The 27,911-nt window shown below is 55.3% G+C and overlaps 2 protein-coding genes and 1 long non-coding RNA gene across 12 annotated transcripts in view, besides 3 other annotated features; 2 read left to right on the top strand and 1 right to left on the bottom strand.

Annotated features, from left to right (window-relative positions):
• Positions 1–18,531, top strand: part of NAPA (NSF attachment protein alpha) — a 30,534-nt gene extending 12,003 nt beyond the window's left edge. For 2 of the 5 annotated variants that reach the window (NM_003827.4, XM_011527436.2), the window contains exons 3-11: positions 2,312–2,428; positions 7,465–7,511; positions 9,568–9,645; positions 9,887–9,942; positions 10,016–10,100; positions 10,942–11,046; positions 12,205–12,273; positions 13,300–13,350; positions 14,672–15,424. In NM_003827.4, the coding sequence (NP_003818.2) occupies positions 2,312–2,428; positions 7,465–7,511; positions 9,568–9,645; positions 9,887–9,942; positions 10,016–10,100; positions 10,942–11,046; positions 12,205–12,273; positions 13,300–13,350; positions 14,672–14,773 (710 nt within the window). In that variant the 3' untranslated portion in view covers positions 14,774–15,424. Of the gene's footprint in view, positions 1–2,311; positions 2,429–7,464; positions 7,512–9,567; positions 9,646–9,886; positions 9,943–10,015; positions 10,101–10,941; positions 11,047–12,204; positions 12,274–13,299; positions 13,351–14,671; positions 15,425–16,267; positions 16,372–17,122 lie in introns of those variants that run through there. The other 3 variants (XR_007067028.1, NR_038456.2, NR_038457.2) reach the window with 3 other exon arrangements.
• Positions 1,464–18,779, bottom strand: NAPA-AS1 (NAPA antisense RNA 1). Its single transcript, NR_038452.1, has 4 exons — positions 18,537–18,779; positions 9,460–9,614; positions 7,917–8,033; positions 1,464–1,604 (listed from the first exon to the last, which is right to left on the bottom strand). It is a non-coding gene; the product is annotated as an NAPA antisense RNA 1 (long non-coding RNA).
• Positions 1,831–2,385: an enhancer, noted in NCBI's record as "H3K4me1 hESC enhancer chr19:48003933-48004487 (GRCh37/hg19 assembly coordinates)". NCBI's record gives its function as "activates a minimal SCP1, AML or CMV promoter by ChIP-STARR-seq in primed H9 embryonic stem cells {active_cell/tissue: H9 hESC(primed)}" and the evidence as "EXISTENCE:reporter gene assay evidence [ECO:0000049][PMID:30033119]".
• Positions 17,222–27,911, top strand: KPTN (kaptin, actin binding protein). 6 transcript variants are annotated; one of them, XM_017026227.2, is made up of 15 exons: positions 17,222–17,368; positions 18,603–18,782; positions 18,976–19,126; positions 19,477–19,559; positions 19,682–19,766; positions 19,846–19,900; positions 22,028–22,103; positions 22,228–22,301; positions 22,654–22,763; positions 23,121–23,198; positions 25,280–25,355; positions 26,123–26,258; positions 26,347–26,529; positions 26,830–26,946; positions 27,517–27,911. In XM_017026227.2, exons 1-15 carry the CDS (start codon positions 17,222–17,224, stop codon positions 27,643–27,645), a joined length of 1,680 nt encoding a protein of 559 aa, XP_016881716.1. In that variant the 3' UTR covers positions 27,646–27,911. The 6 variants fall into 6 exon arrangements, 5 of the variants coding, with proteins under 5 accessions (XP_016881716.1, XP_016881717.1, XP_024307101.1 ...); XM_017026228.2 differs by lacking the exon at positions 26,830–26,946; NR_111923.2 differs by lacking the exons at positions 17,222–17,368; positions 18,603–18,782; positions 26,830–26,946 and adding an exon at positions 21,427–21,482 and having other exon boundaries at positions 18,842–19,126; positions 19,846–19,935; positions 22,228–22,297.
• Positions 18,468–18,597: an enhancer, noted in NCBI's record as "active region_14866". NCBI's record gives its function as "activates an Ori minimal core promoter by ATAC-STARR-seq in GM12878 lymphoblastoid cells {active_cell/tissue: GM12878}" and the evidence as "EXISTENCE:reporter gene assay evidence [ECO:0000049][PMID:35858748]".
• Positions 18,628–18,917: an enhancer, noted in NCBI's record as "active region_14865". NCBI's record gives its function as "activates an Ori minimal core promoter by ATAC-STARR-seq in GM12878 lymphoblastoid cells {active_cell/tissue: GM12878}" and the evidence as "EXISTENCE:reporter gene assay evidence [ECO:0000049][PMID:35858748]".

Below are 27,911 nucleotides of genomic sequence, written 5' to 3'. Positions count from 1 at the left end.
TGATTCCAATAACAACGTGAATCATGGCTGCTGTTTGTTGAGTCCTAAGTGCTCATCATTTAATTGCGTTAGCACAGCAGCCCTAAGGGTCAGTCTATAAATATCCCTATTTTACAGATTTGGAAACTGAGGCTTGGCTTAGTCTCTTGCCCAGGATGCCAGAACTAGTAAGTGACAGAACCAAGATTCAGAAACCAAGGCTCTGACTGCAGAGCCTGAGTGTTTAACCTGCCCCAGTGAGGCAGGATAGCTTCACAGAGGAGAGGGGTGGGGAGGAGCCCCTTGGGCTCAGGGAGGCTGGAGATCTGTTTGGAGCTCCCTGCAGGCCCAAGAAGTCCAACAAGCCAGTGTGTTGAGCCCTTTCGAGGCTCATTTCATCATACATCTTTCATGTCACCAAGATTGAATTAAGGAAATACGGCAAGAGACCCAGTGTTTGAATGCAGGGAGGAACTTCTGACTGTGGAGGAGAGGGAACCTGGTGGTGGGACCATGGAGGCAGGGTGCAGAGGTGCACAATAAAATTGATTATCATCGTTTTTGAGAATGTTGTTGGTTTCCCCAAAATTCAAAGAGTTATTCCTGAGTTTTCACAAAATACGTTGTGAATAAAGCCAAATGTTTTTTGTATTTTTATGCTCCCAAACTTAGAAAATTCCTCTAGAGAAAAAAAGCTTATTTTTTAATTACATAGGTGTTGCTTTTCCCCTAAAATTTGTTACCTCTGCCCCCAAACTCTTCAAAGAAAAGCCCTAGGCCATTTCCCCCCGGTAATATCCCCTTTTCTTGAAATTTTTTTTTTTTTTTTTTTTTTTTTTTTTTTGAGACAGTCTTGCTCTGTTGCCAGGCTGGAGTGCAGTGGCGCGATCTTGGCTCACTGCAACCTCCGCCTCCCTGGTTCAAGTGATTCTCCTGCCTCAGCCTCTTGACTAGCTGGGATTACAGGCACGTGCCACTACGCCCAGCTTATTTTTGTATTTTTAGTAGAGACAGAGTTTTACCATGTTGTCCAGGATGGTCTCCATCTCCTGATCTCGTGATCCGCCCACCTCGGCCTCCCAAAGTGCTGGGATTACAGGCATGAGCCACCGCGCCTGGCCGTAATTTTATACTCAAATTTGGAACTCTTGAAAATAATGAAATCATATAGTGAAAACCCGGAAGGCTTTGTCTTTTCTGCTGCTCAAAACTTAAGAGGATAGGGCCAGGCCTCCTGGTCCTCTTCCAGCTTAGAAACTCTGACTCAGATTCAGCTGGAGGAGAATGAAGGGGAGAAGCCTCAGAGCTGAGCTGGAGGTGGTCAGCTGCACGAGGAGGAGGAGAGATGCTGCTGCCTCCCAAACGTCAGTTAGGAGATGTGTGGGCAGAATGGCTTGGGACCCACAGAAGCTGACCGTGTGCAGATGAGCACAGGATGGATGAGGCTTCAGGCACGGTCTCTTCTGCCCTCCGCCCATGGGCACTGGTCTGCATGTATTCATTCTTGCTGTCCACATCCTGTTTCCCTCTCTGGACATGCAGCTCCTGGAGGGAGCCGGCTCTGTGTTGTCCGACCCCAACTCCATGAGCCTCACAATTCATGCAAGTGCCTTGTCCATGGGGATCTGCAGTGAAGGGAACAGAATGTGAACAGAGGCAGAGGAGTTGGGAGAATCAGGAAGAGCTTTGGGGAGCTGTGGAAAAAGAAACAGGACTTGGAAAGGGGAGTAGATGGGAAGATGTTATGTGGTTTAATCTCAGTTGCCCCTTGCTTCCCAAAATACCCCTCCGAAGCCACCCCATGATTTCAGCCTGTACTTTGCCTTCTAGTGGTGGTTCTGGGCCCTGTGCTTCGAGGCTCCCCTGGGGAGGACTGCCCAGGCCGGGAGGTGCAGGAGGCCACCTCACTCTGTTTTATATCCTTTCCAACTCAGCTCTATCTGCCTTCTCCTTGGATCTTTAGAAGTGGTGGCCCTGGAAATGCTGGCATAGCTGGGATTAGGGACATGGTGTTTTACCTGGGCTTACCCTGGCTCTCTTTCCATATACCTGGGGCTCAGGGCCTTCCCCCGAGGCAGCTTCCTGCCGCCCTCAGAGACTGTCAGGTGGGCCACCAGGAGCCTCAGCGCAGGAGCCAGCAGACCTGAGCGCAGGAGCCAGGAGACCTGAGTTCTAGGCCTCGGTCTGGGCTCGCTCAGGTCACCCTCGTCCTGTCTTGGGGACTCTTTCCGCATTCTCGAGAGCCCGACCCACCTCCCAGGGCAGTGTCTCTGTGGCTTCATAAAGTGTGGAGCCCCACTGAGGCCAGGACTGCCCTTCTCTTCTGTTCCAGCTGCTGGAAACGCGTTCTGCCAGGCTGCACAGCTGCACCTGCAGCTCCAGAGCAAGCACGACGCAGCCACCTGCTTTGTGGACGCTGGCAACGCATTCAAGAAAGCCGACCCCCAAGGTGAGGGCCTCTGCGGGCCACACGGGCTGGCTGTCCGGAGCGCCATCCTAGCACCCTGCATTGATTCCTCAGGTTTCCTGGCGGCTCTGGTTTTTCCAGTGGCCGACATGTGATAGGCTGGCAGGGGCGTGCCTGAGGCAGAGTGAGCGTTGACTTTAGAACTGGCTCTCTTCCTTCCAGTTGGCATTCGCGCCCTGCTCAAGTCTCCGCCCCCCTATCTACCGTGTCGGTGGTGTCGGTGCAGCTGATCACCCCTTCCCAATCCCGGAGCATTTGGGAGTGGGAGTTCCATTGCAGACCCACCGCCTGCCGGGGAGAGAGGAAAATCTGTTCTGTTGTCAGAATTAACATGCAGAAGGGAGCGGTGTGGGGGGCGGGGAGGATTCTGAGACCAGCCAGGTAGGAGTTGCTGCCGAAAAAGGAGCGGAAATTAGCCCAACCTGGCTTCCCTACATCCTGGGGAGGAATTAGAGAGAACAGAGCCCGAGATGTAGTTGCCAGAGAACAAATTACTTAAAATGAGAGCGTGCTAGGGACAGAAACCCAGTTTGGGGCTGACTCATGGTGAGAAAACAGTTTTGTCCCCCTGGGTGCCTCCCGAAGAGGAGGTCCAGCCCAGTGTTTGCTTGCATGTGGCGGGAATTTTAATTTATTTTTTAAAATGTTGGTGCCAGGTACAGGTTGCTAATTAGAAAGCACAGGCAGTTTTTAAAAATGACCATCTATTGTCACTGTCATCTCAGGGGAATGGAAAATATATGAATCTTTAAAAAATAAAAAGCAGCTATATAATCTTGGAATAAAAGCCTGTCCTTCCCAAGAGAAGACAGGTTTGCAGCAGTGCAGGGAGCTTCCTCCATGGATCAGTGAGCACTGGTTCACATGGCGTGTTTGAGAACTGCTGGCATACCCCTTTGTCGTGATCTGACGTGTTAGTTCCCAGATGAGGATGAATTTGTGTTGACCAGTAGCTCTTCTCTGTCCTTAGACTGACCAGTTGCTCCTCAGCAGCTGGGCATCTCATGCGTTGGCCTCAGTGGTCACATGGTGGGGCTCAGGCCTGGCAAGAGGCCGAGGAGCAGCCTTGTAACTGGGTGGGCCATGGGGCTTGCCTGGCTGGTAGCACTGGGCCACAGCAGGCTGCGTGGTTGATGCAGTGATGACCCAGGGAGACCCTGGGTTGGTTTTAAGCTTGATTCACCACATGGAGTCTCCATGCCTTCCATTAAACTGCCCCGCCAAGCCTTTCCTTCTGCTCCCTGGGAAACTGGTTGGCCTAGAGGTGCTGTCTTAGCATCTGTGACGTTCAGCTGCTGCCCCATCTGGAGTGACTGGAAGGACACTCTGGGGCAACACTGAGCGCCAGGCTGCCGAACAGAGAGTGCCATTTGCTCTTTCAGCAGACCCCTCACTTCCTGCAGACAGGCCCTGCCTGGCAGTGGGATATGGTGGGGTCCCTCCCCTGCGTTTGATCTGAGCTTTTCTAGCTCTCCAGCGAGACTCTGCAGGGTGTGGGCCTGGAGTCTGGATGTGGCCCCTCCCTGGCCTTAGGAAGCTCAGAAGGTGGCTGAGGACTCCGACCGGTAGGAAAGTATAAAGATGATGTTACATCCAGGGCACAGAGGCCAACTTGCACAGAGCTGAGGCTGGGGGCGTGAATTTGGCTATGGGAGATCTTTCAAGGAAGAAAGGGGGCAGTTCTGAAAGGAGAGCCTCACCTGGGTAGAGCTGAGAGCAGGTGCCGTGTCCAGAGCCCTGGGGACGTGGTGTTGAGCAGGGAAGGGTGTTAGTGCAGCTTCCAGAGCTACAGCCTAAAGATACGCACGCCAGCCATGACTCCCAGTGGGGCAAGGGGCACATTGGCATCAAGGGCAGTGGCTGCTTTGTGTCTGAGGCTAGTCAGGCCTCACACAAGGCCAGGTGCAGTGGCTCATGCCTGTAATTTCAGTGCTTTGGGAGGCTGAGGCAGGAGGATCGCTCAAGCCCAGGAGTTCAAGACCAGTCTGGACAACATAGTGAGATCCTGTCCCCAAAAAAAAGCCTCACAGAGAATGTCATGTAGCAACTGTGTGTGGCTCAGCAGCGCAGGTGGTGGGTGGTCTGGGAGGACCCTGCCTCCCCTGTGATCCTGGGCAAGTCAGTCTTTTGGGCCTCTGTTTCCTCGTCTGTTAAAGCAGAGACTGCTGTGAGATGATGCAGTCATGCCCAGCGCGGCACCTGGTGTGTGATAAACTTCCAGTCAGGACACCCTTGGCTTTCATCAGTCCAGGGGCCCCTGCCTGCCCTGGGCTCCCCACAGCCTCTGCCCTTGGCCGGGTGCCTTGTGAGACAGCGCTGGAGGCCCGATTTGGAACCTTGCCTGGCTTCCCCAAGCAGGTGGCCGGTACCCTGGGGCCGTCCTCATCACTGGTCTCCTCAGCAGCCTAGAAGGCCTCTGTCTTGGGTCAGCACTTCTAGGGCTTCCTCCAGGACTCCCTCCAGAAGGACCTGCCCCCAAGTGGCAGCTGGAGTGTGCCTGAGGCCCGACTGGGCTCCCGAATTCCTCTCCCTCTCGCAGAGGGTGGCCTGCTGCCACCTTGGTGGCTCTGGGTGGGGAAGGGTGATGCTCATATGTGTTATTGGTTCCTCAGTTACCCAACCATGGCTGCTGCTCAGGGCAGACTCGGGCCAGCGAGGCCTCTTCCCAGGCCTGCCTGATAGTTGGGGGTGGGGGCAGTGTGTGTACCTGGGGCAGAGAAGCGACCTGGCCCCTGCTTGTCCCCCACTTCCTCCCCAGCTGCCATTTACTGGGTTTCTACTGTGTACCAGATGCTTGGCATCTTTTAACCCATTTGATTTCTTTGTGCATTCTGTGATTTGCCCCCATTTTACTAAGGAGGAGATGACCAAGTGTAACCAGGAAGGGCTTCAGAGACGCAGAAGTCAGGTTGGGCGTCGCTGGTAGGAGTGACTGCGGGGATGGGCGGTGGCCTGGGCCATAGCTCCCCAACTTGGGCTGTATTGCTCTGAGCCCCTTTCCAGCCCTCTGTGGGTGGGTACAGGAGGGGCCAGGCCACAGAACTGGGTGTTGCTCTGCCTGTCCGAGTGCACAAGGCCTGGTGACCTGAGATAAGAGTAGCAGTCATGAGTGTGTCAGAAGCTCGTCCAGGAGCCAGCTGTCCCAGGTGTCTGCTGGTGGCCCGCCGCTTTCCAGACATGGAGGGGACTTAACCCCGTGAGTCCATGTTGCTGCCTGGGGGGTAAGCTGTCTCCCTGCTGCTACTGCAAGGACTGTGCCATGCTGACGGCGGGTGCTCCAGAGCCAGTGCCAGCAGGCCCAGGTGGCAGCTGCAGATCTCACTGCTCACTGCGGAGCAGCAGCCTTTGCCGCCTCAGCCCACAGGGTGCCAGGTTGGTGTCCTGGGTGTTCCGGCCAGGAGAGTGAACCAGTGAGCAGCCCGGGGCCTCCATGTGGAGACTGCAGCCAGGTGGGGCGGGGCAAGGCGGGCCTCTCACCTCACTCCAGCTGCTGCTCTCCTCTGCAGCGTGGCCCGGCTTAGCCGTTGCTTCTGGGTCCGCCGATTACAGGATGTATGTGTCTTCAAACTGCCGGATTTAGGTTGTGTTCTCTCCCCTTCCTCCTCATCTGCCCCCTTTTTGCCACCGTTTCCACTGTCTGCTGCCACAGTCTCGGTCTGTCAGCCCTAGAACCTGGACTGAGTGCTGTACCTTCTCTCAGTCCCTTTTAGATCCCCAGAGGTCTTTCTGAATTGGACAAAACCTACAGACCCCACTCCCCAGAGGAGTGCTTATGGACCCCACTGTTTACATGTCAGAAGGAGGGGTTGGACTCCCTGAAAGCCCAGCCACAGACCTGAGACAAAGAGCCTCTGTCCAGATGCCTCCCCACGGAGGGAGTTTGGAGTCCCATCCAGACCGTGAGCCCCTTGAGAGGAGCCCAGCCCCGGCGCTTCTTGGTAGCACCCTCTTCTCAGGCGAACATGGCCTGGGTGACCATGGAGACCCCCACGGTGACCAGGAACTTTCAGATGCCCAGGCTGAAGCTCAGAGCCCATGCCCTGTGGCCTGTCCAAGCTCCCTGCCTTTCCCTCTCCCCAACCCAGGCCTCCCTCCCCACAACACCCCTGTCCTCCTGAGATGTGCTAAAATGGTGTTCTTAAAAAATACCCCCTGAGAGCTCATTTCTGTCTGCTAGAAAATGCCTCCCACTCATGCTTTTCTCTCTCCTCCAAATAACTTGTCAAAAAAAAGCCTTTCCCAAATTTAAAATCTTGCAAGAGATAGTACAACAAAGGTAGCCCAGTTCTTCCTCAGTGCCATCCTGGTGTGTTCAGGTTTTTTGGCAAAACCTTTGAGGAGCTGGTGGGTGGCAGGACTAGGTTAAAGGGACTGAGCAGAGGGCTCCCGACTGCTGAGCTACGAGGAAGAGGGGGCAGTGGAGAGCACACTGAGGGCTCAGTGTTGATGACATCCAGCCTCCTCGTGCCAGAGGTCCAGGTCCTCCTGGTGCAGGAGCAGAAGCTGCTCAGGATCCTGCAGAGATGGTGGCAGAGCCCAGGTAGAACCTGGCACCCTGTTGCCTCCAAGACCACCTCAGATGCTGGTTTGGCCGCCTCCCATGCCTCCTTCCCCTTTGCCAGCAGCTCAGTCCTTCAAGAGCAGGGCCTTGGCAGGTCTGTCTTAAAACACCGTGGGAGTCTGGCCATCATCCTGGCCTAGCACTGCTGTGCCCTGTCCCTGGGGTTGTGGGAAGCTGGTAGCATCCTGGCAGCCCGAGGAGAGAAGGGCTCCCCCAGAAGCATGTGCCCAGCAAGTCACAGTCTGCAGAGTCAGCCCTCTCACCAGATTTCCTGGGGCTCAGGGATTCCGTCCCCTTCTTCCCAGCCCCTTGAGAGTGTGTGGCAGCGCTGGCAGCTCTGAGCGCCTATTGATCTCTCTGCTGGCAGCCAGGTGCGCCTGCGTCCGCCTCCTCTCCTCAGCTTCTGCTGAAACGACTTCACTTTCTCATGTCTCCTCCCACCTCCCTTTCTCTCCAGAGGCCATTAACTGTTTGATGCGAGCAATCGAGATCTACACAGACATGGTAAGGGCTGCTTGCTTGTCCTGACACCCCCGGGTCCCACTGCATTGCCCCAGCCTTGCGTCCCCTCTTTCAGCACCCCCAGCACTGTTCTTATTCTGCGGCCAAACCACTTGGGGAGGGGGAAGTGGGAGCTGGGGGGATTAGGTCACCTGAGCTGGCCTGGGCTGGCTGGGTCTTCACCCAGCTCCCCACCAGCCTGACGGCCCCCTCACTCCACAGGCAGTCATGGTTTTCATTCATAGAACTTAGGTTATTGAGCTGGGCAGGGTGGCTCATGCCTGTAATCCTGGCATGTTGGGAGGCTGAGGTGGGAGGATCTTTTGGGCACAGGAGTTCGAGACCAGCCTGGGCAACATAGCAAGACCTCCTCTCTACAACAAATTAGCCTGGTGTAGTGGCATGCACCTGGGGTCCTAGTTCTTGGGAGGTTGAGGCAGGAAAATCGCTTGAGTCCAGGAAGTTGAGGCTGCAGTGAGCTGTGATCACACCACTGCACTCCAGCGTAGGCGACAAAACAAGACCCTGTCTCAAAACAAAAAAAGAAATTAGGTTACTGGAGAGTGTGTGTCCGGCACTTCCCCTTGCCCAGCCTTCCCGCAAGTGTCACATTTGATAAGCATCTTGCAGCAGGCCACAGGGATAGGCAGAGCCCACAGGAGGCTCAGCACCTGCCCTGCCCCCAGGGCGCGTTGCCAACGACAGATGCAGACCAGATGGGCAGCTGCCAACTGGAGCCAGAGTGAAGGGTCCCACCCAGGCCGGGGCTCCTGTCAGTGCTTTCTCTCTCTCTCTTTTTTTTTTTTTTTTTTTTTTTGAGACAGAGTTTCTCTCTCATCTAGGCTGGAGTTCAGTGGCGTGATCTCCACTCACTGCAACCTCTGCCTCCCAGGTTCAAGCGATTCTCGTGCCCTAGCCTCTCGAGTAGCTGGGATTACAGGCGTGTGCTACCATGCCTGGCTAATTTTTGTATTTTCAGTAGAGATGTGGTTTCACCATGTTGGCCAGGCTGGTCTCAGACTCCTGACCTCAAGTGATCCACCTGCCTTGGCCTCCCAAAGTGCTGGGATTGCAGGCATGAGCCACCGTGCCTGGCCAGCTCCTTTTTGCCTCTCCGCTTGCCCTGTCTGTCTCAGCCCTCCAACCCCAGGCAGGGACACGAGCCCTACCCCTTGCGTTCAGGGCAGTGCTGCAGGGATGACTGTGATTAGAACAATAATAGCAGCTGCCATTTATTAGGCCAGACACTGCAGGGTGGTTTAATCCACAGCCCTGTGAGGTTGGCATTATTGTCATCCCCGTTCCTTAGTGGAGGAGAGGGGCTCAGACAAGTGACATGATTTGCCCAGGGACATGTGGCTACAAGCAGGAGTCACTGAGACCCGAAACAAGGTCTGGCTGAGCCCAGGGCCTTGCCCTTTCCTACTGCCCTCAGCAAGGGGGTGGCGTTGGACCAGCCCCTGGTGCAGAGCAGTTAGGCAAGCGCCTGGACACTGGGTGGAGGCGGATGGAAGGTGCGAGGCCCCTTGGAACCTGAGGCCTCCCTGGGGAGCTCTGGGTGTGCCTGGGGGAGGCTGACAGATAGGTGTTGGCCTGGGGGCAGAGCTGGTACTCTTGGGCAGAGGTCTCAAGCCCTCCCTCCCATCCTGGTTTCTCCAGAGCCCTTTGCCAAGTGGCTCTGGACTGGTCCTTCCGCCTCTCTGGCTGTTATCAGAGGCTTCCTAAGGGCCAGGGCCTTGGCCAAGTGCTCGTGCTCACATTCTCTCTGGTGTCACACCATCTGTGCCCTCGTGGATGGGATGGAATTAGGCTAAGGCCCTGGAGTGGCTTGTCCAACATCACCCGCTCAGCCCAGCACGCATAGCCAGGCCTCTAGTGCTGGGGCCCTCCCTTCTCACTCCTGTGTTCCCCCACCTCTCGATCTTCTTCACACCTCAGGTCTTCTTCATACCTCCTCACAGGCGTGGCTGAGGGGTGGGAACTTGAAGGGTCATAGGTCAGCAGGCAGGCACGCAGGAGGTCATGAGTCGCAGGCAGCCCCTTCCTGTGTCCCCTCCAGGGCCGATTCACGATTGCGGCCAAGCACCACATCTCCATTGCTGAGATCTATGAGACAGAGTTGGTGGACATCGAGAAGGTGAGTGGCAGCAGGGCCCTGCATGGGCTGGCAGCCAGGACCAGTGCTGCTCTCTCTTCTTCCCACCAGGGGAGTCCTCTGGTGTCTGAGTGCCGAGAAGGGGGCATGGGGCGCCGGCAGAGCTTGGAGAATGGGGTCTGGCTGTGTCCCAGGCAGGCAGGGCGGAGGGTGTGGAAGCTTCACGGAGGCCTCCTCTCCCTTCCCTGCCCTCCCCTGGAACCCATCCCCCGTGTCTCCCCAGGCCATTGCCCACTACGAGCAGTCTGCAGACTACTACAAAGGCGAGGAGTCCAACAGGTAGCCCCCTTCCTGCCTGCCCCAGCCCCGCAGGGACCGCCACCACTTCCCCTCACTACTCCTCCCCACACAGCTCAGCCAACAAGTGTCTGCTGAAGGTGGCTGGTTACGCTGCGCTGCTGGAGCAGTATCAGAAGGCCATTGACATCTACGAACAGGTGGGGACAGGTGGGGATGGCGGCTTCCACCCTGCCCCCTCTCAGGGCCTGTGCCTCCTCCTAAGCCCCGGCACCTTGTTCTGGAACCACCCCTCCCCCGGCTCACCCTCTGCCTCTCCCCCGACATCCCTTGCCATGTCATCCCCCCACCCTGTCTTCAGCCTGGCTGAATGTTCTCCACCTACGACTCCATGCCGTGCCAGCACCGTCTCTCTCCCTGGCTGTGCCCCTCCCACACCCCTCGCAGAGCTTCCTGGAGGGGCCCAGAGTGAGGCTGGCTAAAGAACCCAGAGGGAGGGAATGGGAAGAAGTGCCAAGAGGCCCAGGGTGGCCGTGGGCACCCCACCCCATGGCCCGATGGTCCTCATCCACAGTGGGAGGGAGGGAGTGTCACATGGGGTCCCCCCAGCGTGCACGGAGCCCTGGGTGATGGCCGAGAAAAAGGCAGGCAGCTGGCCCCCTGGGAGAGAGGGGCGGGCGCCGCCTCTCATGTTCCCACCGCCTGCCGCCGCTCTGCCCACCGCCATGCCAGCCTCCCGTTGGTCCTGACAGCCAGGCTGCCTCCTTCCCACTGTCTCAGGCTCTCAGAAGGCCCACGAACACCTGGCTACAGCCTCCACCCCCACCCAGCCACCATCACACCCTGATCTTGGTCGCTCACGCACTGGCCGCTGACCTCTCCAAGCTGGTCCCTGGCTCCCTGCCCTTGGGGTCCTGGGTTAACAGGGCCTCACCTCGGGACATGAACCAGCTCCCAGCTGGCCCCCCAGTGCCTGGCAGTGGCTCTGGCCCTCTGGCTGCTTGCCCTGAGCTCACCAGTGCCACTTCTCCATGGCTACAGGTGGGGACCAATGCCATGGACAGCCCCCTCCTCAAGTACAGCGCCAAAGACTACTTCTTCAAGGCGGCCCTCTGCCACTTCTGCATCGACATGCTCAACGCCAAGGTAGCACACCCCACGCCCGCAGGACCACCGCACCAGGCCACCATGTGCTTATCTCCAGGCCAGGTCCCGTTGCCCCCGAAGAGGGACGTGCTCCTCCCTCACGTCTGGCCCCTGCCAGCCAGCCTTTGGATGAGAAGTGTGGTTCTCACAGCTGTGTTTCTGTGCTGGCATCACCTGCCCACCCAGCCCTGGAGGCTTTTGCGGGTCCAGCTCCTGCCTCACTTAGTGCTCTTTCCTTCATGGGTGCACTTTTTGAATCCTCACTGCACCCCATTAAAGTCAGCACCATTGTCACCGCGTCTTATGGGTGAAGATGGTGAGGCTGGGACGAGAGTCCCTTGTTTGAGGCCACATGACTAGGGACCTGCAGCCCCAGTGTTCCAGATCTTTGTGACTCCTGCTGTCGTGGCTTTAGCTGTAGCTCACACATGCCCACCTATTTTCAGGACACTTGGCAAAAGAGGGGCCAAAGAGGGCAGTGGGAGGGGGCGTGGCCAGCGGGAAGGAGCTGGAGGGTTGGCGCTAGATTTTGCTTGGCCGGAGTTTTTTTACCATTGCCTGGCAGAAGCACGGAGTCCAGGATTTCCTGGTGTCCCTGGCTCACGGCCTGGGGTGGTGGCCCCACACACCCCACACACACACACCCCACAGAGCCCTGCCCTGCTGTGGGCACCGGTGGTGGGCAAAAGCTTGGGCTTTGTCAGACCAGGTTCCCATTCCCACCCCATGTCTCACCGTGCCCTGGGCAGGTCACTGCCCCTCTCTGGATCTGTTTCCTCACTTTGAAAAGGGGGCTCACCGTCATTTGACCCTCTCAGGGTCCTCAAGAAGCACCAGCCCCAGGCCTGGCATGGAGGATGTGCTCATTTGTCCCCTGCCCCAGCTGAGCCAGGTGGGAGGAGGCAGTGGGTGCCTATCTGGGGAACCTTCCCCCTCCACCCACCTCTCCCTGCAGCCATCTCTGCAGCCAGGCTGGTGCTGAGCTCAGCTACGGGAAGGTACTGACAGACACAGAGCCAGGTGACACCTGAGGCTGGGGGAGGGGTGCAAGAGCTGACTCAATATCACCCGACATCCCCAAGTCCCCTCAGCTGCTAGGCCAGTAGCTCTGAGGACCCTCTTGTTACTAACTCATCTTCTCCCTTCCCTGCTGCCCAGCTGGCTGTCCAAAAGTATGAGGAGCTGTTCCCAGCTTTCTCTGATTCCCGGGAATGCAAGTTGATGAAAGTAAGTGCTGGGTGCTCCGGCCTCCCCCTTCCCGAACCTCAGACGGGGGTGGCTGGGGCTCCAGGTGGGACAATCGCCAAGACTTGTCCAGTAGTTCTCAGAGGGTGTCTTTGTTTTGTTTTGTTTTGTTTTGTTTTGTTTGGCCATTTGAGTCTCCATTTTCCAGATGAAGAAAGTACAACTCGGGGAGTGCTGGAGCTCAGGATGGCTAGGTGGACACACACACACACACTACACACACCACACCACACCACACACACCAAACATACACTACACACACCACACCACACACATCACACCACACCACACACACCAAACATACACTACACACACCACACCACACACATCACACCACACCACACACATCACACCACACGCTACACACACACCACCCCACACACCCCACACACACTACACACACACCACACACAGCAAACACATCACACACCACACATATCGCACACACACTACACACACACGACACACCCCTCACACAAAACACATTGCACAGTACACACACCACACGACACACCCCCCCACACACAAAACACACTGCACACACACCACACATGACACACCCCACACACACACATTGCACACACACTACACACACCACACACACCCCACACACACACCGAACACACCACACACGCAACTCAACACACACCAAACACCACACGTGCCCCTACACACCACACCCCAACACACACACCACACACACACACACCTCCACCACACACCACACCCAACACACACACCCCCCATACCCACACACACACACATTCTGTGTGATGTTCTATGTTGGTAAGGTTGCCCTGAGAGCAAGCCGTTTCTGATGAATAGGGCAGCAGGATCGCAACACGCCCGTACCCATCCCCAGTTTAACCCACACGGATTGACCCTCTGAGAGTCCTCAGGAAGCCCCAGCCCCAGGCCTGGCATACAGATAGCGTGTCCTTTCATCTAATCCAGGCCAGACCTCAGGTCAGCATAGGCCCCTGACCCCTCTCTGCCATTTGCTTGCAGAAATTGCTAGAGGCCCACGAGGAGCAGAATGTGGACAGCTACACCGAGTCGGTGAGTGGCCAGCATGGGGGGCCAGGCCCCTTCACGGGGATGGGTCTCCTAGGAAAGCTGCCCTTCTCAGACACGCTCTCCATGACATTCACCCATTTCATCTGGCCCCCAGCCCACTGTGAAGTTCTTTCTCCAGTCACCCCAGAAACCTTACAAGTAGCGCCAAGAGGCGCAGGGAGTGTTCTCCCCATTTTATAGATGGTGGCACTGAGGTTGGGGAGGTCAGGAGGCTCGGCCTTGGCCCCTCAGGGACAGAGCTGGTGTTCAGAGCCACATCTGTCTGCCTCTGAAGACCAGGGTTCCTTGAGTCCCCCAGGTGAGTGTGTGAGACTCACAGTGGGCGCCTTGGGCACCCAGGAGGCACAGACGGGGAGGGAAGGGGTGAGAAGGAGAGTGGAGCTGAGGACATGGGAGAGGTGCCAGCTTCCCTCTGCCTGGTGGAGCCGCCCACGCGGCTCTCTCTCCCTTCCCTTTCTCTGTTCCCAGCATTCCCGGGCTTAGTGGTGTCCGGCTCAGGTCCTGATTCACTCCTCTAATGGCACATGTCAAGCATTTCTCCCTAGGTGCCCCTTGGGAATGGAAGCCCCTAACTGAGGACAGTGAAAATGCCATCCTGTTCCTCCTGCCCCAGACAGTGGGTGGCAACTCAGCCAGGAGCTCAGGGAGGGGATGCCCAGCAGGCCGTGGCTTCTCTCCCCCGTGTCCCATGGCACTCAGGAGTGGCCTTTTCCATATCTCCAGGCCTCAGTTTCCCACCCATTCAGTGAGGATGCTGGACTTTTTTTTTTTTTTTTGAGACGGAGTCTCGCTCTGTCGCCCAGGCTGGAGTGCAGTGGCGTGATCTCGGCTCACTGCAAGCCCCGCCTCCCGGGTTCACGCCATTCTCCTGCCTCAGCCTCCCGAGTAGCTGGGACTACAGGCGCCCACCACCACGCCTGGCTAATTTTTTGTATTTTTAGTAGAGACGGGGTTTCACTGTTAGCCAGGATGGTCTCAATCTCCTGACCTCGTGATCCGCCCGCCTCAGCCTCCCAAAGTGCTGGTATTACAGGCGTGAGCTACTGCGCCCAGCCATGGACCTTTTTTTTTTTTTAAAGCTACAATATCTTTCTCCCCCAAGGGAAATGATGTGCCCAGCATAGTCAAGACAGACAAGAGGGAGCTCCCATGGCTGAGTTGGGGCCTCAAGCCCTCCCTCTACTCCTCCTCAGAGACCAGGGGTGACAGAGACAGATCTTGAAAACCTTGGGACAAGTGCCCTTGGGCTGCAGGGTTGGGAACGGGGGGAGCATGGCCAGCCTATCACCTGGTGTGCCCTCAGGTGAAGGAATACGACTCCATCTCCCGGCTGGACCAGTGGCTCACCACCATGCTGCTGCGCATCAAGAAGACCATCCAGGGCGATGAGGAGGACCTGCGCTAAGCCCCACCCAGCCCCCCAGTGCCCGTCTTCCTGTCCCATCTGCTCAGAGAGAGGTGGGGCCGAGACTTGCTGGAGAGCTTCCCTCCTTTCCCATCTGGGGAGTGCCGCGGGCCACAGTGGGCAGGTGGCACCGGGGGTCAGCATGCAGGGGCGCCAGAGGCCCAGGCTGCTGGCCGGACAGTCACCCTCTGTTCTCGCTACATCCCTTGCCCCCTGTCCATTTATTTAAGCCCCCATAGGTGCCCTTCACCCCCAAAACCAGCTGTACAGAATCTTTGATACAGACCTATTTGCTAGGGGTGCTGCCGGGGATTTGGGGTCAGCATCTGGCCCCCTATCTCCTGACCAGCTGAGTCATGAGGCCGGTTTCTCTCTCTCTCCCACTTTTGTCCCCCAGCCAAGCTCTAAAGCACATGTAGCCGCTGAGACCTGCTGTTTCTGCTGGGGGCAGGCTCCTCTTCCCCCAGCCCCGGGAGCCTCCCCCAGCTTCCTGCAGCCCCGACCTCTCAGGTTAGACCCTGGGCCCTGGAGCTTAGGGGATTCTCCCCACCCCAGCCCCACACCTGCTCCTTCCCTAATGCTTTGAGGTTTTCTTGGTTGGAAGCTGCAGCTGGCCCAAGAAAGAAAATAAAAAACAACACTTTTGCATGAGTCTCTCTTCCTCCTCACCTCTGCTACCCACTCTGCCCCTGGGCCAGTCACCAGTCCCTCTCACACTCCTGGTCCCCCAGACTCTGGGCGAGCTCTTGGGAGGTCAGGCGCATGCATCCTTGAAACACGTGTGGGCTGGGTCAGTTTCTAGGTGGGGGAGACCCAGGGACGGTGGGCCTGGGGAGGAGCTCTGGCTTGGGAGTCCCAGAGCGCCCATCTTGATCTTTCTCTGGGTTCTTGGGGTCCAGGGGCCTTGATTTCCTCAACTGGGATGCACGGTGGTGATGCCACCCCTCAGAGCCAGTGGGAGGGTCGAATGTGACGGTCCTCATGACTGCTTTGGATGAGAATGGGTGGAAGCCCACCGAATCTCCCATGTCCACATTTCTCTGGCAGGAAGGCTGAACGCCCCGGTGACAGTTGTTCCATCTGTCACAGGACGGGGGAGGAAGCGGCTTTGGTGGGCAGAGTCTGAGGCCCGAGTGGGTCTGGGGAGTGGGGGAGGAGATAGCAGGAGCCTTTGCCCAGGAAAGGTGGGCAGAAACCAGCTGCCTCCACCACACTCCACAATGTGCATGTTGGGGGCCCTGTCTGGTACACATGTGCTTTACCCTGCCCCGCGCAGGGCCCCTCGCTACAGAGGAGACAGCTGAAGGAGGCTCAGTGCCCAGGCATGATGGGAAAATGTCAGGAAGTGAGCAGGGGCAGTAATTGCACAGAGGAGGGGCTGCCTAGGAAACCAGGGTGGACTCCTGGGAGAGGGGCTCCAGCCCAGAAAGCCTAGAGAAGTGCAGGTGAGGTTCAAATTCCTTGACACCTGCCCTGCTCCTCTCTCCCCTGCAGCTTCTCCCACAGCTCCAGTCCACTGATAATGGCAGCAAAGACTTCTGAGACCTGAAATTGATTACCATGTCTGCCCCCATCATGGGTGCTGGCTGAAGGATAGTGTGAGAATCTGTTTCTGTCATCCATGACCTAAATCAGTGATGGTCCGCCCTGGCTATGCTTTAAAGTCATTAAAAGTATCCAGACTTGGGGCTGGGTGCTGTGGCTCATGCCTGTAATCGTAGCACTTTGGGAGGCCGAGGCAGGCGGATCACTTGAGGTCAAGAGTTCGAGAGCAGCCTAGCCAACATGGCAAAACCCTGTCTCTGCTAGAAATACAAAAATTAGGCATGATGGTGCAAAAATAAAAGTATCCAGACTGGGGCCGCACTCTGATAAATTGTGGTTTGACTGAGGTTTCCTACCCTTTGGGGGTTTTTGGGTTTGTTTTTTTTTTGAGACAGAGTCTCGCTCTATCGCCCAGGCTGGAGTGCAGTGGTGCGATCTTGGTTCACTGCAACCTCTGCCTCCCGGGTTCAAGCGATTCTCCTGCCTCAGTCTCCCGAGTAGCTGGGATTACAAGCGTGCGCCACCACGCCCAGCTAATTTTTGTATTTTTAGCAGAGACAGCGTTTCACCATGTTGGCCAGGCTGGTCTCAAACTCCTGACCTCAGTTGATCCGCCTGCCTCAGCTTCCAAAGTTCTGGAATTACAGGCATGAGCCACCAGGCCCGGCCTGTTTTGGTTTGTTTTGTTAAAACTTCATAGGCAGTTCAAGTGTGCAGCTAGGATTGGAAACCTCTTAACAGGATGATTCCTTCCTAACCTGTAACTTCATTTTTTCATTCATCCGCTCAACATGTGGCTTATAGGTTACTAGGGCGGGAAGACGCCTGAAGGAAACGCACTGCTGAAGTGGCACTAGACCCACGTGCCACTCCCTCAGCGAATATTCACTAAGCACCTGCTGCATGCCAGGCCCTGGGAATACAGCAGCACTGACGGCATTCCCAGACTGCCCTCCAGGAACTTCTACTCTCCACATCCAGAAATCTGGAATCATCACAAATTCCTTGCCACCTCCGTTATCCAGTCTGCCTTTGAGAACTTTCCATCATGTAAGAGCTGTCTCTTACATGCTCAGCACATAGTTTGTGATTTTTGACACATATTTTCTGAATGCCTGCTTTGTGTCAGGCCTTGTGTTCCAGGTACAGGCGATAAGGCCGTGATCAAGGGAGATCAGCCTGCTGCCTTCATGGAGCTTGCAGTCTGTGTGTGCTCGAGGTGTCCAGGACAGCTGGCCAACCCATGTCTTCTGGAAATGATACACAGATGTGCACATAGTACCCAAACCTCCATGGCCTTCTAGGGACAAAGCAGCACAGACAGGAACCCCTGAAGGCCCCAGAGTCGGAAACACCTGGTTTACATCCTGTCCCCACCACTTGCTAGCATATCAGTCAGTGGACTTACTCTTTCTGAGCCTCCATTTGATTCTCTCTAAACTGGGATAATAAACCTCTTTGTAGAGGTTTCTTTCTTGCAAAGATTAGTGAGACAGATTTGCAAAGGACGTCCGGGCACATAGTAAAAGCTCAATGAATCCTGAATAAGTGAACCGGCAGGGAGGGTAACAGTAGGCCCTTGCAGAACAGTTGTAAGGAATCAGATTATCAGAGCCAGCATGACTGTCACCAAGTAGGTGTTCGATAAAGGAGGTGGTTATTATAGCTGGATCATTTTTCCTTGGGGGCAAGAAGAATGTATTAATTATTTTAAAGGTGATACTGTTAAGATTATGAACTATAGGCCGGGCAAGGGGGCTCACGCCTATAATCCTAGCACTTTGGGAGGCCGAGGTGGGCGGATCACCTGAGGTCAGGAGGTCCAGACCAGCCTGGGCAACATGGCGAAACCCCATCTCTACTAAAAATAGAAAAACTAGCCAGGTGTGGTGGCGCCTGTAATCCCAGCTGCTGGGAGGCTGAGGCAGGAGAATCGCTTGAACCCAGGAGGCAGAGGTTGCAGTGAGCCGAGATCGCACCACTGCACTCCAGGGTGACAGAGCAAGACTCCGTCTCAAAAAAAAAAAAAAAAAAAATAGTGAACTGTGGAGTTACCTTGTTTGGTTTCCAGTACTGACCGCTCGTTACTAGCTGTGTGATCTTAGGCAAGTTACTTTACCCCTCTGTGCCTCAATTCCTTCATCTCTAAAATGGATTTAAGTACCTACCTCCACCCCCTTGCGAATTTTTAATAAAGTATTAGATGGAATGCACTTACAGTAGTTCCTGGCACATAAGGGCAATATTAAGTTTTATGATGATGATGATTCGACCTTCCACACAGCATACAGCGAGAGGCCGTGGCCACCACCTCCCATCTCTAGTCACAGACTCCTTATGGCAGCCCCTTGGTCCAGAAATGGAAAGGAGAAGAGAGCGCGGGCGCAGTGGGGCAAAGTCGCCTGGGAGGCCCGAGCAGGCGACCTGGCCGCCATCTTGGGAGAGGGCAACGCCGGCAGCTTCCGTACGTCATCAGCCCGCGCAACGGCCGGGCACCCGGCGGTTCAGGTCGCTTAGAGAGTCGTAGGTTGGGTAGTGCGGGTTGGGGCGGGGGCTGCGGAGAGGGTGCTTAACTGAGGGGCATGATGGGGGAGGCGGCCGTGGCCGCGGGGCCTTGTCCGTTGCGCGAGGACAGCTTCACGCGCTTCTCGTCGCAGAGCAATGTGTACGGGCTGGCAGGCGGCGCCGGCGGGCGCGGGGAGCTGCTGGCCGCCACCCTTAAAGGCAAGGTGCTCGGCTTCCGCTACCAAGACCTCCGACAGAAAATCCGGCCAGTGGCCAAGGAGCTGCAGTTCAACTACATTCCCGGTGGGTGGCGCTATGGTGCTGGGGGGCGGGGGCCTGGAACGTGGTGTTGAGAAGGCTTCTGAGGCTCTGTCTGAGCCGGGTCACCGTGCTGGAAGAATGGGATCAGGTGGTTTTAAGGGGGTCACTGGGATCAGCGGGCAGGCATAGTTGGGGCCCGGATGAGCCTAGGGTTTCAGGATTCTTCAGACTTACAGGTCAGGATCCCTAGTACCCAGGGAACAGAGATCAGGTGATGGTGGTCAGGACTCAGACCAGAGGGCATGATCATTGCGGTAGCCAGAGCTCACCATGTTGGGGAGATTGGAAGCATGAGTCTGCCTGACACTGAACTTAGAACTCTCCCCTCCCAGTGGATGCGGAGATTGTCTCCATCGACACTTTCAACAAGTCACCCCCCAAGCGGGGTCTGGTTGTGGGGATCACGTTCATCAAGGTACCTAGAGCCCCCTCCACCTCCCTTCGCCCTCCTCCTTACACACATGGTGAGTTCCACTGAGCCGCCCCGGATCCCTCCTGCCACCCCTGCCCTCCCCTGAACCCCGTGTCCTCCGCCAGGATTCAGGGGACAAGGGCAGCCCCTTCCTGAACATTTACTGCGACTACGAGCCCGGCTCTGAGTACAACCTTGACTCTATTGCCCGTGAGTGAGGCGTGGACGGGAGGAGGGAGAGAGTCCCCAGCAGGTCCCCCATGCTAACCTGCCTGTGCCCTGCCTACAGAGAGCTGCCTGAACCTGGAGCTCCAGTTCACTCCGTTCCAGCTGTGCCATGCGGAGTGAGTGTCCCCTGCGCATCGACGCCCACTCCACTGTAAATGTAGAAACCCTGGCTTCTCGAACCCCTTCTTTACTTACAGACCCCTGTAGTCTGTTTCCCCTTCTGGAAAATAAAGAGGTTGTACTAGATTAGGGATTGAAAACTAAAATGCCAGCCGGGCACGGTGGCTCACACCTGTAATCCCAGCACTTTGAGAGGCTGAGGCAGACGGATCACCTGAGGTCAGGAGTTTGAGACCAGCCTGGCCAACATGGCGAAACCCCGTCTCTACTAAAAATACAAAAATTAGCTGGGCATGGTGGTGTGTGCCTGTAATCCCAGCCTACTCAGGAGGCTGAGGCAGGAGAATCACTTGAACCCGGGAGGCGGAGGTTGCAGTGAGCCAAGATTGCACCACAGCACTCCAACCTGGGTGACAAGAGCGAAACTCTGTCTCAAAAATAAATAAATAAAATAAAATGAAATTAAACTAAAATGCCTTTGGGGACCAGAGAGGTCATGTGAGAATGGAAAGCACAAATGTAATATAACAGGGAGCACATGTGCACACACACATATGCAGCTGAGGTTGGAAAGCTGTAGCTAACTGGAGACCACGAACTTGTCCATAGACAATCAGATTCTACATTTGTTTTTTAAAGCATTGCACTTTTTTTTTCTTTCTTTTTTTTTTTTTTTGAGATAGATGCTCGCTCTGTTGCCAGGCTGGAGTGCAGTGGCTCGATCTCTGCAACCTCTACCTCCCTGGTTCAAGTGATTCTACTGCCTCAGCCTCCTGAGTAGCTAGGATTACAGGCTCACACCACCATGCCCGGCTAATTTTTGTATTTTTAGTATAGATAGGTTTTTGCCATGTTGGCCAGGCTAGTCTCGAACTCCTGACCTCAGGTGATCCGCCCGCCTTGGCCTCCCAAAGTGCTGGGATTACAGGCGTGAGCCACCACGCCTGGCCGGAGCATCATGCTTTTAAGGTGGCCATGGACCGGATGGCCAAGGGGCCACCACACTGCCATTCCTGAACTAGATAATCTGAGAGAGTTGATGGAGCACCTGTGAATTCTGGGAATTCTGCACATCTAGAATTCCCAGATTCTAATGTTCTAGAGTCTGACATTCCAAGATCAGAGATGCTAAGTTTTCTAGAGTCGTAGGCTCTAAGATTCCAACATTTGAATATTCTACAGTACGATAGAAGCCAGAATCTTCTGAGGTTCTGTAATGATAAAGTCCTGACATTCTCATCTTTCGAGGAGATAGAACATAGAGCATCTAGAATACCAAGGTGCTAGAACCCCAAAGTGTGTGGGTTCCATTCTAGAGTTCCAGATTCCATTCCAGAACACAGATGGTCTAGAACAGGGATTGGCAAACTTTTTTTGGTAGAGATCCAGATAGTAAATATTAGGCTTTGAGGGCCAGTCTGTCACAACTACTCACTTTGCCATTGTAGCCAGAAAGCAGCCATTGACACTATAAATGAATGGATGTGGCTATGTTCCAATAAAACTTTATTTACAAAAACAGATGGTGGGTTGGATTTGGTCTGCAGGTCATAACTTGGCCAACCTCTGGTCTAACAGGTGAGAGTCCCCAAAACTGAAGATTCTAATTGCACTAATGTTCTCCTTGCTAGGATTTGGATATTCTATCATTCCGTGAATCTGAAATCTATGATGGCAAATTCTAGAAGTTCTTGTATTTTTAAGGAGACAGAAAACAGCACTTCTAGAATACCAGGGTTTCAGAATGAAGAGGTCCTAGCTTTCTAAGGTTCTGCAGTTCATTCTAGAGTTCCACATTCGATTCCTGAATCCACAGAGTGAAGGTAGGAGTAGATGCGGGCTCTAAGAGCGGGAGGTTCTAGCAAGCCATGTTCCCGCAATTCTGAGATTGGGAGGTACATTCCTTGATTTTGAGATTCTATGAGGGCTCGTTTCTACAGTTATGTATTTCAAGGAGATACAGTACTCAGGAGCTTGAGCCCTGAGATTCTAACCCTGGGTCTAGTGTCTGGATCCCAGAATGTTAAGGTTCTCAACAGGCAGGGGTTTTTGCAAGAGGAGAGTTCTGGTTCTCAGACCATGTGGATTCCACTACCTTGGGTTCTAGATTTCTCTGCTTTCAGGGTCCAGGTCGGGGATCAACTTGAGACTGTGTTTCTCTTGAGTGGGAACGACCCGGCCATTCATCTCTACAAGGAGGTGAGGTGGGGCGGCGTGCTGGGCAGAGCCCTGTGGGATTCACTGTGGGCTGGCGCTGGGTGGGTATATGTGTGAAGCTGACGGCTGACTTAAGCGGGGGTGGGGTGGGTCTTGGTTTCCCCAGAACGAGGGGCTGCATCAGTTTGAGGAACAGCCCGTGGAAAACCTCTTCCCAGAGCTGACGAACCTGACCAGTAGGTAGGAGAGGCCCCGAAAGAGGCCACTGGGGACCGGGGCACTGACATCAGAGAAATCGGGCGGTGAGACCTTAGAGAAATTGGTCACCGGGGAGGAGCTCAGAAAAATCAGTCCACGGCATGACTTCAGAGAAATTGATCAGCAGGGGTGACCCCAGAAAAAACAAGAGGTGGACTCAGCCCTCGGGTGGTGAGAATTGACCTCAGAGGAATTGGGCGGTGGGGATTATCCAGGAGGAATCAAGCAGCAGGGTCCCAGGGCTACAGGGAGGGGCGGCTGCCCCTGGGGAGGCAGAGGGGCGGGGCTGGGCCCAGCAATGGCCGTCCGTCCTGTCCATCCACCCGCCCGCCAGCGTCCTCTGGCTGGACGTCCACAACTTCCCCGGCACGTCCCGGCGCCTCTCAGCTCTGGGCTGTCAGAGTGGTTATGTCCGTGTCGCCCACGTGGACCAGCGGAGTCGAGGTGAGGGCCGCGGTGAGGCGGGGTAAGGGGTGGGGTTGAGGGCTAGAGGGCGGGGCCAGGGTGGGGCTGAGGGCTGGAGCTGGGTGGGGTAGGGGAGGAGGATAAGTGGGTTGAGGGATGAGGGTGGGGCTTGCCGGGTGGGGCTAGGGTGGGGCCGAGGGCTATTGCTGGGTGAGGTAGGGGAAGTGGGGGAAGGGATGAGGGTGGGGATTGGGGGCGGGGCTAGGGTGGGGTTGAGGGCTTCAGAGGGGCGGGGCTAGGGTGGGGATGAACGGTGGGGGCGGAAAGTCGATGGTTTCAGGGCTGCGGGCGGGACCGGGGTGGGGTTGGGGCTCTGAATCCTCGCTCTCCACGCAGAGGTTCTGCAGATGTGGTCGGTCCTGCAGGACGGTCCCATCTCCCGAGTGATTGTGTTCAGCCTCTCGGCCGCCAAGGGTGAGCTCTGGGTTTGAGGGGATGGGGAGAGAGCGGGTGGGAGGGAAGAGGCAACTCTGCATTCTTGGGTCCTTCTACCCAGATTTGCACCCCTCTCCCAAAGTGTGCAGACCCCAGTCCCTCTCTCCTGGATCCCCCACTCCAGGCCTTGAGCTACAGTGCACCTCTTCCCTCCCCTCCCCTCTTGTGAATTTAACTTCCAGGACTGGCACATGGGGCCTAACCCATATCTTTTCTGTTAGGGTCCATAGTTGTTCTCCTCACTTTGGTGTAACCTTAGCCCCGTACCCTGGGGCTGAGCATCCACCTCTCCCTCTGTACTCTAACCTGCACGTCTCACATCGGTATTTCCTCACCCCGCTCTGTGGCCCCTTCACTGTGTCTCTTGTTGCATTCTAGCTCCCGGCTATGCTCCTGGACTCACCGCTGTCCCACCACTCAGAGTCTAGCCTTTTCCCCCAATATGTTGATCATTCCTGCTCCTTTACTGGGGTCTGTCCCTGACTGGCATTTTGCTTTTTTAAAAAAGTTTTGACTAGGCGCGGTAATCCCAGCACTTTGGGAGGCCGAAGCGGACGGATCACCTGAGGTCGGGAGTTCAAGACCAGCCTGACCAACACGGTGAAACCCTGTCTCTACTAAAAATACAAAAATTAGTGGAGCGTGGTGGCGGGCACCTGTAATCCCAGCTACTCGGAAGGCTGAGGCAGGAGAATCGATTGAACCCAGGATGTGGAAGTGGCAGTGAGCTGAGATCTCACCACTGCACTCCAGCCTGGGTGGCGGAGCCAGGCTCCATCTCAAAAAAGAAAAAAAAAATTATTTCAATCACTTCGGGGACACAAGTGGTTTTGGTTGCATGGATGAATTCTATAGTGATGGATTCTGAGATCTTAGCACACCCATCACCCAGCTAGTGTCCGTTGTACCTAATGTGTAGCTTCTATCCCACACCGCCTCCCACCTTCCTGCTTCTGAATCTCCAAACACCATTATACACTCTGTATGCCTTTGCATACTCATAGGTTGGCCCCCTCTTCTGTGAGAACATACATTTTTTGGTTTTCCACTCCTATGTTACTGCACTTAGAATAATGGTCTCCAGTTCCATCTAAGTTGCTGCAAAAGACAACATTTTTATGACTTGAGTAGTACTCCATGGTGTATATATACCACATTTTCTTTCTCCACTCATTAGTCAATGGCCACTTAGGTTAGTTCCACATCTTTGCAGTTGTGAATTGGGCTGTTGTAAACATACATGCACAAATGTCTTTTTTTTTTTTTTTTTTTTTAGACAGAGTCTTGGTCAGGCTGGTTGCAGTGGCACAATCTCGGCTCACTATCACCTCCACCTCCCAGGTTCAAGCAATTCTCCTGCCTCAGCCTCCTGAGTAGCTGGGATTACAAGTGTATGCCATCATGCCAGGCTAATTTTTGTGTTTTTAGTAGACACAGGGTTTCACCATGTTGGCCAGGCTAGTCTCGAACTCTTGACCTCAGGTGATCCGCCTGCCTCGGCCTCCAAAAGTGCTGGGATTACATGAGCCACCACACCCAGAACCTCAGACTTTTTAAGCCATCATCTAACACCTATTTCTCCTTCTGGTGTCTGACTTATAATTTGTCTCATGGGCCAATCTCTAACCCTCCCTGTGTAGCACAGCCTCAAGACTTTTTCCTGAGATCTAACCTGCATGTCTCTCATTAAAGGGGCCTGGGGTATGACGAGGAGCCTGGAACCTGTCCCCACAAAACCTTTCCCCTATTCATTCATGTTTCTTTTTTTTTTTTTCTTTTTCTGAGACGGAGTCTCGCTCTGTCACCCAGGCTGGAGTGCAGTGGTGTGATCTTGGCTCACTCCAACCTCCGCCTCCCAGGTTCAAGCAAGTCTCCTGCCTCAGCCTCCTGAGTAGCTGGCATTACAGGTGCCCGCCACCATGCCCGGCTAATTTTTGTGTTTTTAGTAGAGGCGGGGTTTTATCATGTTGACCAGGCTGGTCTCGAACTCCTGACCTCAGCTGATCCACCCGCCTTGGCCTCCCAAAGTGCTGGGATTACCATTCATGTTTCTTCTCCAGAGACCAAGGACAGGCCACTACAAGATGAGTACAGCGTGCTCGTGGCCAGCATGTTGGAGCCAGCAGTGGTGTATCGGTGAGGGGGCCTGAGACACATGGGTGTGGTCTAACCTTCTTTCTTTGCACTGTGGTCTAACCTTGTCATTCTCTACAGTAAGTTCCTCTGGGTGGATTACCCAGAGCTGGACAAGTACAGATACTCGTGACCCAGGGGTGGGGGCTGTGAATATTGAAGTCTAGACTTGTAGGGAATATGTTGAGGCTGGGGGGTGGGAGCAGAGATGCCTGTGCCCCCTGGAGTAGATGTAGTAGGTATGCTGGAAAATGGTTAATCACTGGCTATGCACGAGGAAAGCCCAGGTTTGTAGCATTTACCAGAGTTTCCAAAGTGTAAATACTCCCACCATGGTGGCTTTCAAACCATGAACATGATTACATGGGAACATTTCCCAGTCAGCTCTCGGAAGCAACTATAGCCAGCTCTGGCACCCCTCTAGGGGTGGTGAAGGTGTCCAGGCCAGGGCCAAGCCCTCTTCGGGCTCCACGAAGGCAGCGTGGGTGTCTAAATTGAGGACACATGCATCTGAATCCTCAGATGGGACACTGTGGCTTTCCATTTGGGAGTGAGATGGTCTCCGAGATGAAGGGCTTGAGTGCACAGGTTGACCCCTTGCTGGGTCTATGAATATGTCCAAATCTGAGATGATGATGTCTAGGCTTCCGGAGGACCAGTGTGTCTAGGCCTGAGAAGGGAAGCAGTACCGGTACCCAGCTTAGCATCCGCCAAGGGTGCTGGGCACTGCAAGCTGACCCCAGTCTATATGCTGTATTTGGGACCCTCAGGGACCTGCTGAACCGGGGTCTTGAAGACCAGCTTCTCCTGCCCGGCAGTGACCAGTTTGACAGCGTCCTCTGCAGCCTGGTCACCGATGTGGATTTGGATGGGCGGCCAGAAGTCCTGGTGGCCACCTATGGACAGGTGGGACCTGACAGTTGGAGCCACACCCACCGGCCTCCCTCCACTGTCCCCCCATCAACCTGTGTGACCTGATTCTTCACCCCCGCAGGAACTGCTGTGTTATAAGTACCGGGGCCCAGAGTCGGGGCTTCCTGAGGCCCAGCACGGGTTCCATCTGCTGTGGCAGCGGAGCTTCTCCAGTCCCCTGCTGGCCATGGCTCACGTGGACCTGACCGGGGATGGGCTGCAGGAGCTTGCCGTGGTCTCCCTGAAGGGCGTGCACATCCTGCAGGTATCCCCAGCTCTTGGGGTGGGAGGGGAGTCGACCTCAGCAGTTTCGAGCAGGGGGTGCAGGCCTCCTCCTGGGGGAGGGAGGAACTCATTTCAGGGAGGCAGTTCCTACCAGTCAGGACAACTCCCAGGAGAAAGGGGCAGCTGTGAGCGCTCACAGCAGCTGGGGTGGGGGCACCGGCCTGGTGAAGGAGATTTATTTATTTATTTATTATTTTATTTTTGAGACAGAGTCTTGCTCTGTCACCCAGGCTCTAGCGCAGTGACTCGATCTCAGCTCACTGCAACCTCCACCTCCCAGGTTCAAACAATTCTCATGCCTCAGCCTCTCAAGCAGCTGGGAAATACAGCCGCACGCCACCACGCCCAGCTAATTTTTGTATTTTTAGTAGAGACGGAGTTTCACCATGTTGCCCAGGTTAGTCTCAAACTTCTGGCCTCAAGTCATCCGCCCACCTCGGCCTCCCAAAGTGCTAGGATTACAGGTGTGAGCCACCACACCCTGGCCTTTTTTTTTTTTTTTTTGGTTTTTTTGTTTGTTTGTTTGTTTTCGAGACAGAGTCTTGCTCTGTTTCCCAGGCTGGAGTGCAGTTTCCCAGGCTGGTGTGCAGTGGTGTGATCTCAGTTCACTGCAACCTCCACCTTCCAGGTTCAAGTGATTGTCCTGCCTCAGCCTCCCTAGTAGCTGGGATGACAGGCACCTGCCACCAAGCTTGGCTAAATTTTATATTCCTTTTATATTCCTTCTAATCTCACTTCCTTACATTTGGGTCTAGGCTTTGTCCCTCCCACTAGAAATTCGCTTAAGGCCACTCCCCTTCACCCCTGTCACAGAGGCCCATTCCCATCCCACACACTGTGGTCTGCTCTCTGCCCTCCCACGTGGGCCGAGCTCCTGGCCTTTGGAGTTGCTTCACTCCAGACGGTCCCGCTGTGGTCCCACAGCTCTTCCTCAGCTCCATCCCCCTCATTCTCTTGTTCCCCACAGCACAGCCTGATTCAGGCCTCAGAGCTGGTCTTGACCCGGCTTCGACATCAAGTGGAGCAGAGGAGACGTCGGCTACAGGGGTTGGAGGACGGGGCAGGTGCAGGGCCTGCTGAGAATGCAGCCTCTTAAGCACCCATGCACCCACTCTTCCCAGACCTGGGGCGACTCATGGCGTGCTCACCTCCAGCCGCTGGTGGGGGGTGTCCTGAAGGACAGGATGCTCTCCCCAGACCTCCCCAGGGTGGTGAAGCTGTGCCCTGGGGCCCCAGCTAACCCACTCCTCTCTCTGTACGTCAATGTCCCTATTTGAAAGCAGGGATGATCCCATTCCACCCTGTCCACTCTGGATGAGAATTGGCCACCTGATGGTTATTTATACGTCCAGAAGAACATCA

Source organism: Homo sapiens, chromosome 19 (assembly GCF_000001405.40).
Source record: "Homo sapiens chromosome 19, GRCh38.p14 Primary Assembly".
In the NCBI taxonomy this organism is placed as follows: domain Eukaryota; kingdom Metazoa; phylum Chordata; class Mammalia; order Primates; family Hominidae; genus Homo; species Homo sapiens.
The sequence above is the reverse complement of the archived record's forward strand: the minus strand, read 5'-3'. Positions and strand labels throughout refer to the sequence as shown.

Bases quoted from the DNA above. Each gene is read 5' to 3' on its own strand.
- KPTN (XM_017026227.2), top strand. From the start codon at position 17,222: ATGCCAGGCCCTGGGAATACAGCAGCACTGACGGCATTCCCAGACTGC. The intron at 19,767-19,845 runs GTGAGTGAGGCG...CCCTGCCTACAG, and splicing joins CAACCTTGACTCTATTGCCC to AGAGCTGCCTGAACCTGGAG. The intron at 19,901-22,027 runs GTGAGTGTCCCC...CTCTGCTTTCAG, and splicing joins TTCCAGCTGTGCCATGCGGA to GGTCCAGGTCGGGGATCAAC.